The sequence below is a fragment of the Homo sapiens genome, chromosome 17, assembly GCF_000001405.40.
Source record: "Homo sapiens chromosome 17, GRCh38.p14 Primary Assembly".
NCBI lineage: Eukaryota > Metazoa > Chordata > Mammalia > Primates > Hominidae > Homo > Homo sapiens.
The window spans coordinates 64,394,366-64,405,829 of NC_000017.11; the positions used below are offsets into that span (position 1 = coordinate 64,394,366).

An 11,464-nucleotide genomic window follows, 5' to 3' on the forward strand; every position below is an offset into this window, starting at 1 on the left:
CTCCCGGGTTCACGCCATTCTCCTGCCTCAGCCTCCCAAGTAGCTGGGACTACAGGCGCCCCCCACCACACCCGGCTAATTTTTTGTATTTTTAGTAGAGACGGGTTTCACCGTGTTAGCCAGGATGGTCTCGACCTCCTGACCTTGTGATCCACCCACCTCAGCCTCCCAAAGTGCTGGGATTACAGGCGTGAGCCACCGCGCCCAGCCAGACACTTTTATTATAGGATGTGTCATAATGGCCTGTCCTCCCCCAAATGGACTGCAATCTCCTTGATGACAGGGAGAGTGTCTGGAACCTAGTAGATGATGAAAAAGCATTAGTGCAATGGATGATTGTCTAGATGGATGAAGACAAACTACTGTATTGTCTGAATCAGATGATCACTGCCTTGAGGGTGCCATATTGTTTCTGAAATGCCACCCTCTAGGACTTCCCCATGGTAAAGCTAAGACAGATACAAACTGGCCACAGTCAAAACCAGATTCCTCTACCTCAGGGCAAGAACCAAGAAGTAATGGCTTCCAGCTAGAAAACAATTCCTCTCTCTGACCTATGGTTCAGTGGAAGTTTTGATAAGAGCCTTGAACAGCAATACACACTTTACCCATTTATTTCTAAAGGAATGTTTTCCATTGCGTTATTTGCTGTTGTTTTGTGCTCGCCATTCCCCACTATAAGCTATCTTCTTTGGCAACCTACTGGAAATTACCCTCACCCATCTACCAAATTTTGATGTGGGAACAGAAAAGGAAACACCATGATTAATAAAATAAATTTTGGCTTCAATGGTAATTTTTAGACACTGCAGAGTAAGCACCTTTTGCAGAGCAACAATTCAAATGATAGTGATAAATGCCAAGACCCCAGACCCCGTGCCCTCAAGTTCCAAAGTAAATTTCTAAAATGTGGCAATTGCTTCATAAATGATTCTAATATTTTCAGGATACCATGATAAAATAAAGCTTTATTTCAAAAATAAATGTTTTTTTTAGAAAATTGAAAAATTGTATCCCATAATTCACACTGTGTACCAGAATACATTCCAAATGGACCAGTGATATGAATGTACAAATAAACCCATAAGAGTCCTAGAAGGGGCCAGGCACAGTGGCTCATGCTTGTAATCCCAGCACTTTGGGAGGCCGAGGTGGGCAGATCATCTGAGGTCAGGGGTTCAAGGCCAGCCTGGCCCACATATAGTGAAACCCTGTCTCTACTAAAAAATACAAAAATTAGCTAGGCGTGGTGGCACATGCCTGTAGTCCCAGCTACTTGGGAAGCTGAGGCAGGAGAATCACTTGAACCTGGGAGGCAGAGGTTGCAATGAGCCAAGATCATGCCACTGCACTTCAGCCTGGGCAACAGAGCAAGACTCTGTCTCGCAAAAAAAAAAAAAAAAAAAAGTTCTAGAAGAAAATACAAAAGAAGAAAAGAAGTCCTTACAACCTTGAATGGCAGAGGCTGGTTTAACTAAAACTTAAAATCCAGAAGCCATAAAATTGATTGATAAATTGTACTTTATGAAAAAAAAGTTCTGTTTTGCCAAAAAAAAAAAAAAAAAAATTAGTCAAGAGAAAAACTACTAACTGGAAAAAATGTTTGCAACTCACATCACGGACAAAGAGCTAACTTCCCTAGTGTGTGAAGAACACTCATAAATTAAGAAGAAAAAGTTCGGGAGTCTGTCTAAGCTACTCTGGCTTGGGAGGCTGCCTGATTAAAAGAAAGAAAATAAAAGAGAAGAAGAAAAAGAAAAGACCAACAATCCAATAGAAAAATGGGCAAAGAATATGAACAGATAGTTTCCATAATGTAAGAAAAAGTATCTGAAATTGGAAATAGGCAAAAATGAGTACTGCATGCCTGTCCAGGGTTTACCTCACACTCTAAGGTTATTAACGTTTGTTTGACTTGCTATTTACAGTAGACTAGAATACTTTACAATCAGTAGGGGAGGGTAAACATTAACTTGTAGAAAGTCAGTAAGGATGCAAAGGATTCTTATTATCTGTGGCAGAGGGGTGGGTGGCAGAAACTGAGCAGTTGGGGACTTTTCTTTGTAAAGCTTTCTGTACTTTTGTTATTTAAATCATGTGACTGTATTACCCTTTCACTTTTTTCTTTTTTTTTTGAGATGGAGTCTTGCGCTGTTGCCCAGGCTGTTGTGCAGTGGCACTATCTCAGCTCACTGCAACCTCCACCTCCAGGGTTCAAGTGATTCTCCTGCCTCAGCCTCCTGAGTAGCTGGGACTACAGGCATGTGCCACCATGCCCAGCTAATTTTCGTATTTTTAGTAGAGATGGGGTTTCACCGTGTTGGCCAGACTGGTCTTGAACTCCTGACCTCGGGTGATCCACCCACCCACCTTGGTCTCCCAAACTGCTGGGATTACAGGCGGGAGCCACCGTGCCCGGCAGTATTACCTTTAAAATTTTAATTAAGAAATTGAATTTCTGTTCAGCTTTATGAAGTATTATATAATTGACATAAAATAAGCTGTGTTTAAAGTATACACTCAGAAAAGTGTTGACATGTGTATACTGATGAAACAACCTCCACAATCAAGGAAGCAGACACATCCACCACCCCCAAAAGGTTCCTATGCCCCTCGTCTCCCTTGCCCTCTGCACCCTCCCCACTGCAAAGATTGATCTGCTTTCTGATTAGTTTCCATGTTCTGGAATTTTGTAAAGATTCATACAGTATGTACCTTTTATTATTATTATCATTATCTTTGGTGTGTCTTTTTTCTTTTTCTTTTTTTTTTTTTTTTGAGACAGAGTCTCTCTCTGTTGCCCAGGCTGGAGCACAGTGGCACAATCTCGGCTCACTGCAACCTCCACCTCCCAGGTTCAAGCAATTCTCTGCCTCAGCCTCTGGAGTAGCTGGGATTACAGGCACCTGCCACCACGCCTGGCTAATTTTTTGTATTTTTAGTAGAGACAGGGTTTCACCGTGTTAGCCAGGATGGTCTCGATCTCCTGACCTCGTGATCCGCCCGCCTCGGCCTCCCAAAGTGCTGGGATTACAGGCGTGAGCCACCGCGCCTGGCCTTTTTTTTTTTTTTTTTTTTTTTTGAGACAGGGTCTTGCTCTGTGGCCCAGGCTGGAGTGCAGTGCCGCAATCTTGGCTTGCTGCAACCTCTGCCTCCTGGGTTCAAGCAACTCTCCTGCCTCAGCCTCCCGAGTAGCTGGGATCACAGGTGTGCACCACCATGCCCAGCTAATTTTTGTATTTTTAGTAGAGATGGGATGTCACCATGTTGGCCAGGCTGGTCTCAAACTCCTGACCATAAGCAATCCGCCCACCTCAACCTCCCAAACTGCTGAGATTACAGGCATGAACCACCGCACCCAGCCAACATCTTTTTTTTGAGACAGGGTCTCACTCTGTCTCCTAGGCTGGAGTGCAGTGGCACAATCATGGCTCACGGCAGCCTCAAACTCCTGAGCTCAAGCAATCCTCCCACCTCAGCCTCCCAAGTAGCTGGGACTACAGGTGTGCACCACCACGCACAGCTAATTTTTTACTTTTTGTAGAGACAGGGTCTTGCCCAGGCTGGAATCCAGCTTCTTGTCTCAGAAGATCCTCCAGCCTCAGCCTCCCAAAGTGCTGGGATTATAGGCATGAGCCACTATGCCTGGCCTGGCCTTTTTCAATATAGTAAATTGAATGGGTTTTTATTCGTTTGTGGGCCTCTCCTTTCTCCTCACTTCTTCCCCTTGACCTTGGTGGATTCCTTGATTGGGTTGAGGCAAAGGTTCCCACACGGCTTTGGCTTCTTGGTAACTGATCAAGAGACTGACTCCTACATAACCAAGGGACCCCAGGAGTTCCCACCAGGCTTAACAAACTCACCCAGGACCCTGTTTCTCCCATGGTGTTGTTCGCTTCTTCTCAGCCAAGCAGAATTGAAGGAGGACAGACACACAGTTATTCCTACCTGCAGTGCTCCTGCCTTCAAATACCGGGGAAGTAACGCAGATCCGAAACATAGCGACTCGTTAACTGCACAGAAAAAGCTGTCTGCTGGAATAAACTTCAGGAAGTGGTTTTTCTGAGCAACTGGAGGTGGAGTGGGGGGAGGAAGGCGGAGGCAGGTGGGCAACAGACATGTCGGAGGGCACAGCAGGCCAACCACCTATTTCATGACAATGGTGATTGGAAATGAGATTCACCGGCCGTTCCATTTCCCCCACCTGTAGCCTCAGATCTCATTAGTCTTGGAGAGTTGATGAGCCAGACTCAACAGCCCCCATCCACTGGGTTTGGGACACACCCCAGCCTGGGAGTGAACGTGCACTAATGCGTAAATCAGAAGCCTGGGTTCCCTGTCTGTTCTCTGCAGCTTAATAGCTTAAATGCTCTGAGGCTCATGTTCCTCACCTATATAATGGGAATAATGTGCCCATCTACCCATTGAATAGGCTTGTTAGGAAGATCAAACAAGAGCTAGCCTTTGAAAGCACATTTAACCAGCAGAGCACAGTAAGAACATAGTAACAACAAAAAAATATAAAAAATAGCTGCATACGGTGGTGCATGCCTGTGGTCCCAACTACTCGTGAAGCTGAGGTGGGAGCAACGCTTAAGCCCAGGAGTTTGAGGCTGCAGTGAGCCACGATCACACCACTGTACTCTAACCTGGGCAACAGGGCAAGACCTTGTCTCAAAAAGTAATAATAATTAATTAAAAAGTTTAAAAAAAACAATAGTTATGATTGAACAATAATAACAACAGTTGTTGATCTGGTTTGGCTGGGCCTGCCACATCTGAATCGCTGCTCTGGAGCTCAGCTGACTTAGTGAACCCAAGGGGCAGCGCTCAGTGCCTTTTCTTCCACACCCACCATATGCTGCCCTCACCACCCCAGTCTGGCCCCTCACAAAGTTGGGCAGCTGGGCAAAAGGGAGGCAGGCAGGGACATTGTGGAGGAGTCTGTGCTATTCCATCCCCTGCAGGAGGCCCCCTCCAGTTACAAGGGACATGGTTGTTTTGTTTTTGGGATTTTTTGGGGTTTTTTTTGAGACAGGTTCTTGTTCTGTTGCACATGCTGGAGTGCAGCGGTGTGATCACAGCTCACTGCAACCTCCGCCTCTCAGGTTCAAGCCATCCTCCCACCTCAGCCTCTCGAGTAGCTGGGACTGTAGGCATGCACCACCACATCCGGCTAATTTTGGTAATTTTTGTAGAGATGGGGTCTCGTCACATTGCCCAGGCTGGTCTTGAACTCCTGAGCTCAAGCGATTTGCACGCCTCGGCCTCCCAAAGTGCTGGGATTATAGGCATGAGCCACCGCACCTGGCTGACATGGTTGTATTATGACTCATAACCATAGGCATTTTTGCCTTTGTAGACCTCTTCCTCCACAAAAAAAAAAAAATTACATTTTGAAACTGTACTGGTATAAATAAGAAGATATTCATATTATATATTTAAAAATTTCTTTTACCTAGACAGTGGTTTTATTCTTCTGATGACTGTATCTTCTAAACCTAATGAAGAAGGGCCTGACAACAGATCAGGCACACAACAGCCCAAGGGGTTAAGGGACCTACTGTCTTCCACCCTGAGTGGCCTGGCCGCTGGCCTGGGAAGAGCACCACCATGTCCCAGGCACTGAAGCCAAAACAGGTGTTTGTGCATTCTGTTCTCAAAACCACAAAAGCACAAGCAACAAAATAACAAAAACAGATAAACTAGACTGTATTAAAATTAAAAATGTTTTTATTGCAAAGGATAGCATTAGGAAAGTGAAAGGTAATTCACAGAATGGGAGAAAATATTTGGAAATAATATATCTGATAAGGGTCTAGGATCTTGAATATATAAAGAACTGTTACAACTCAACAACAAAAACACAACCATTTTAAAGAATTGGCAAAGGGGCAGGGCGTGGTGGCTCACGCCTGTAATCCCAGCACTTGGGGAGCCTGAGGCAGGAGGATCACTCAAGGTCAGGAGTTCCAAGACCAGCCTGGCCAATATGGTGAAACCCCATCTCAGCTAAAAATGCAAAAAATTAGCCGGGCGGTGGCACATGCCTATAATCCCAGATACTCAGGAGCTCAGGAGGCTGAGGCAGGAGAATCGCTTGTTCCCAGGAGGCAGAGGTTGCAGTGAGCTGAGATCATGTCACTGCACTCCAGCCTGGGCAATAGAGTGAATGAGACTCCATCTTAAAAAAAAAAAAAAAAAAAAAGGATTTGAGCAGATTATTTCTCCTAAGAAGATAAAAAAAAAAAATGACCCCAAGCACATGAAAAGATGCTCAACATCATTAGTCATTAGGGAATTGCAAATCGAAACTACAATGAGATACCACTTCATACCCACTAGGATAACTATAACCAAAAAGACAGACAACAAATATTGATGAGGATGTAGAGAAACAGGAATGCCCATATGCTACTATGGCATTGTAAAATGATACAGCCACTTTGAAAACAGTTGGTGGTTCCCCAAAATTAAAAATAGAGTTACCATGTGATCCAGCAGCAATTCAACCCTTGGGGATATAGTCAAGAGAGCTGAAAACACGTCCACACAAAAACATGCACACAAATGTTTATAGGGCTGGGCACGGTGGCTCACGCCTGTAATCCTAGCACTTTGGGAGGCCGAGGCGGGTGGATCATGAGGTGAGGAGATCGAGGTCATCCTGGCTAACACGGTGAAATCCTGTCTCTACTAAAAATACAAAAAAATTAGCCAGGCGTGGTGGTGGGCACCTGTAGTCCCAGCTACTCGGGAGGCTGAGGCAGAAGAATGGTGTGAACCCGGGAGGCAGAGCTTGCAGTAAGCCGAGATCGCGCCACTGCACTCCAGCCTGGGGCAACAGAGCAAGACTCCGTCTCAAAAAAAAAAAAAATCACAAATGTTTATAGAAGCAGTATTCACAATAGCCAAAATATAGAAACAACACAAATGTTCATCAACTGATGAATGAGCAAACAAAATGTGTTATAGCCATATAATGGAATATTATTTGGCAATAAAAAGAATAAAGTACTGGGCAGGGCATGGTGGCTCACACCGGTAATCCCAGCACTTTGGGAGCCCGAGGCTGGAGAATCGCTTAAAGCCAGGAGTTTGAGACTAGCCTGGGCAACATAGCCAGACCCTGGCTCTACCAAAAAAAAAAAATTTTTTTTTTCACCTCCCACCAACTTCTCTCAAAAAATTTTTAAAAATTAGCCTGGTGTGGTGGTGTGCCCCGGTAGTCCCAGCTACTCTGGAGGCTGAGATGGGAGGCTTGTTTGAGCTCAGGACTTTGAGGCTACAGTGAGCTAGGATTGCACCGCTGCACTCTGGCCCAGGTCATAGCATGAGACTCTGTCTCTAAACAACAACAACAAAAGGAACGAAATACTGATACATGCTACACTATAGATGAACTTTAAAAACATGCTAAGTGGAAGAAGCTACACATGAAAGGCCACATATTATATAATTCCATTTCTATGCAATGTCCGGAATACGCAAATCCATGGAGATGGAAAGTAGTTTGGTTGGCTAGGGCTGGGGGATTAGGCAAGATAGCTAAAGAATACAGGTTTCTTTTTGGGATAATGAAAATGTTCTAAAATTGATTGGGGTGATGGTTGCACAACTCTGAATATATGAAACACCATTGAATTGCACGCTTTAAATAGGTAAATGGTATGGCATGTGAACTATATCTCAATGAATCTGTTATTTTAAAAATTTTAGAGGGTATGTTTTCATTTCCTGTGGCTACAGTGACAAATACCCACACACTTCCTGGCTTAAAACAACAGAAACTTATTCTTTCCCCATTCTGGATCTAGAATAAGTATGAATGGACCAAAATCAAGCTGCCAGCAGGGCTACACTCCCTGCAGAGGCTCTGCGGGAGGAGAATCTGTTCCTGGCCTCTTACAGGAGCAGATTGGTGGCTGCTGGCATTCCTTGGTCTGTGGGTGCATCACTCCAGTCTTCAAGGCCAGCATCTTCAAATCTCTGCTCAATCTTCACATCACCTCTCTTCTGTGTGTCTAATCTCCCTTATTTATTATTTATTTATTTATTTGAGATGGGGTCTCACCCTGTTTCCAAGGCTGGAGTGCAGTGGTTCAATCACGACTCACTGCAGCCTTGACCACCAGTGATTCTCTCACCTCAGCCTCCTGAGTAGCTGGGACCACAGGCACACACCACCATGCCTAGATAATTTTTTAATTATTTGTAAAGATGAGGTCTCGCTATGTTTCCCAGGTTGGCCTTGAACTTTTGAGCTCAAGGGATTCTCCTGCCTGGGCCTCTCAAAGTGCTGGGATTATAGGCATAAACCAATGTGCCCCGCCTCCCTCTGCCTCTCTGGTAAAGTCACTTGTGATTGCATTTGGAGCCCATCCAGATAATCTCCCCAACTCAAAACTGTTAACTTAATCACATCTGCAAATCCCATTCTCCCACATGTTACAAACTGAATGTTTGCATCCCCGCGACAATTCACATGTTGGAACCAACTCCCCAGTGTGATAGTACTTGCAGGTGGAGCCTTTGGAGGTGGTTATGTCATGAGGGTGGAGGCCTCATGAATGGGACTGGTGCCCTTATGAAAGGGACCATAAGAAAATCCCTAGGCCCGGTGCGGTGGCTCACGCCTGTAATCCCAGCACTTTGGGTGGCCAAGGTGGGCAGATCGACGTGAGGCCACGAGTTTGAGACCAGCCTGGACAACGTAGCAAAATCCTATCTCTACTAAAAATACAAAAATTAGCTGGCATGGTGGCGCGCCTGTAGCCTCAGTTACTTGGGAGGCTGAGGCACGAGAATCACTTGAACCCAGGAGGCAAAGGTTGTGGTCAGCCGAGACCGCGCCACTGCACTCCAGCCCGGGTGACAGGGCAAGACTCCTTCTCAAAACAGAAAAAAAAAAAAAAAAGGCAAGAAAAGAATTCCCTAGTCCTTTCCATCATGTGAGGACACAGCAGAGAGACAGCCATCTATAAATGAGGAAGTAGGCCTCACCAGACACTGGAGCTGCTGGAGCTTTGATGCTGGACTTCCCAAACTCCAGAACTGTGAGAAATACATTTTTGTTGTTTCTTTTTTTTTTTTTTTTTTGAGATGGAGTCTCATTCTTGTTGCCCAGGCTGGAGTGCAATGGCACAATTTCAGCTCATTGAAACCTCCGCCTCCCGGGTTCAAGCGATTCTCCTGCCTCAGCCAGCTGAGTAACTGGGATTACAGGCATGAGCCACCATGCCTGGCTAATTTTGTGTTTTTAGTAGAGATGGGGTTTCTCTGTGTTGGTCAAGCTGATCTTGAACTCCCAACCTCAGGTGATCCACCTGCCTCAGCCTCCCAAAGTGCTGGGATTACAGGCGTGAGCCACCGCGCCCGGCCCATTTTTGTTGTTTCTAAGGCACCCAGTCCAAACAAACTAAGACACCATATAGGGCAACATTCACAGGTTCCAGGGGTCAGGGCCTGATATCCTTGGGGGTCATCAGCAGCCTACCACAGGGGTATCATGACCCATATTACAGATGGGGAGCTGAGGGCCAGGAGGTGAAACATCAACCAAGTTCCCAGCACCACATCTGCCTGCCTGTGTCTGCCTGGCTTGCTACAAGGCTTCTGTGACTGACCTTTTACAGCACCTTTCTGGGCAGAAGGCTCAGACCCAGTCCCTGACCTGACACACATGAGTCATGAGACCAGAGCCAGCTTCATAGATGTGTGACCCGTGCCGTCACAGGGGCCCTGTGCTCAGAAGCTGCCATGCTTGGTTTGATGCCTTGCTGTCGCCACCTTGAAATTCCTGATAATTTTGAATTTTCATTTGCACTAGACCCACAAATTATGTAACTGGTCCTACATGTGACACTGAGCAAGAAAAGGGAGAGTTGAGATGAGGTGGGTAGAAGCTGCCCTGCCCACGGCCTCACCTCAGACCTGAAAAGTACCTGACACCCCGATCCTGCACAGCCTAAATAATTGCATTGTTTTATATGAAAGAAGAACTAGACTTTTTTCCACTTTCGGTGGAAATTATAGGGAGGTATATTTCAGCCAGAACTGTGCAACACAGCAGGTAAGGAAAGTTTTGCAAATGTTTTAAAAGGCCAGATGAGACTGGGCATGGTGGCTCATGTCTGTAATCCCAGCACTTTGGGAGGCCACAGCAGGCGGATCACCTGAGGCCAGGGGTTTGAGACTAGCCTGGGCAACATGGCGAAACCCTGTCTCTATTAAAAAAATACAAAAAGGTCAGGCGCAGTGGCTCATGCCTGTAATCCCAGCACTTTGGGAGGCTGAAGCAGGTGGATCACTTGAGGTCAGGAGTTTGAGACCAACTTGGCCAACATGGTGAAACCCCGTCTATACTAAAAATACAAAAATTAGCCAGGCGTGGTGGCATGCGCCTGTAGTTTCAGCTACTCAGAGGGCTGAGGCAAGAGAATCGAGTAAACCTGGGAGGCGGAAGTTGCAGCGAGCCGAGATTGCACCACCACACTCCAGCCTGGGCCACAGAGCGAGACTCTGTCAAAAAAAGAAAAAAGAAAAAGCCAGCTGAGAGAGAGGGAGGTGATTCCTAAAGCTGCGGAGTCTCCTCTGGGCCCACCTGAGGCAAACCCAGCCTCCACCAAGAGGCAAGTTTTGTGTCAGTTCCCAAGAACTCCAGAAGCCATGTGGGCCACTCCTTCTTCTTTTAGGGGGAGAATGTAGCTGTCAAATATCTCTTCATCTTATTAATAAAGCTAACAAGGAGCCAAGTATTTGTCAAAACCAATGCCAGGGGTCAGAGCAGTGTCCCGCTGATTGCCACAGCTGAAGACAAAGGAAAAGGAAGGAAGACTGTCATCGTCAATGTGGTTGCCATTGCAAAGGTGGCTAGGTGGCCTCTGTCACTGTGGGCTGGGAATCATAGCTCTAGTCTGATGCTAAAAAGGACCATGCAACTGTTCATGGAGCGCACAAATGACTGCCCAGACAACATAAAAAAACAGCATCTGGCCGGGCACGGTGGCTCACACCTGTAATCCCAACACTTTGGGAGGCTGAGGTGGCCGGATCACTTGAGATCAGGAGTTCGAGACCAGCCTGACCAACATGGTGAAACCCCATGTCTACTAAAAATACAAAAATTAGCCGTGCGTGGTGGCACAAGCCTGTAGTCGCAGCTATTCAAGAGGCTGAATCACTTGAACCCAGGAGGCGGAGGTTGCAGTGAGCCAAGATTGCACCACTGCACTCCAGCCTGGGTGACGGAGGGAGACTCCGTCTCAAAAAAAAAAAGGTGTCTGTGTTCCCACTGTGGAAACCTAAGCAGATTGGCTGGACAAACTTTAGAATGACAGGGACCCCAAAAACAGAAAGAAAAGCAAAATGCAGCCTAGTCTATCCCCAGGGGCGGTGGGGTCGTCTGGGGACAACAGAAGGATGAAGGCCCAGGATGAGGCAGAAAGGAGCTGATCTGGGGGTG

At 46.2% G+C, this 11,464-nt stretch overlaps 2 annotated features.

The window, feature by feature from the left end:
* Positions 10,303 to 10,412: an enhancer, noted in NCBI's record as "active region_12590". NCBI's record gives its function as "activates an Ori minimal core promoter by ATAC-STARR-seq in GM12878 lymphoblastoid cells {active_cell/tissue: GM12878}" and the evidence as "EXISTENCE:reporter gene assay evidence [ECO:0000049][PMID:35858748]".
* Positions 10,523 to 10,602: an enhancer, noted in NCBI's record as "active region_12591". NCBI's record gives its function as "activates an Ori minimal core promoter by ATAC-STARR-seq in GM12878 lymphoblastoid cells {active_cell/tissue: GM12878}" and the evidence as "EXISTENCE:reporter gene assay evidence [ECO:0000049][PMID:35858748]".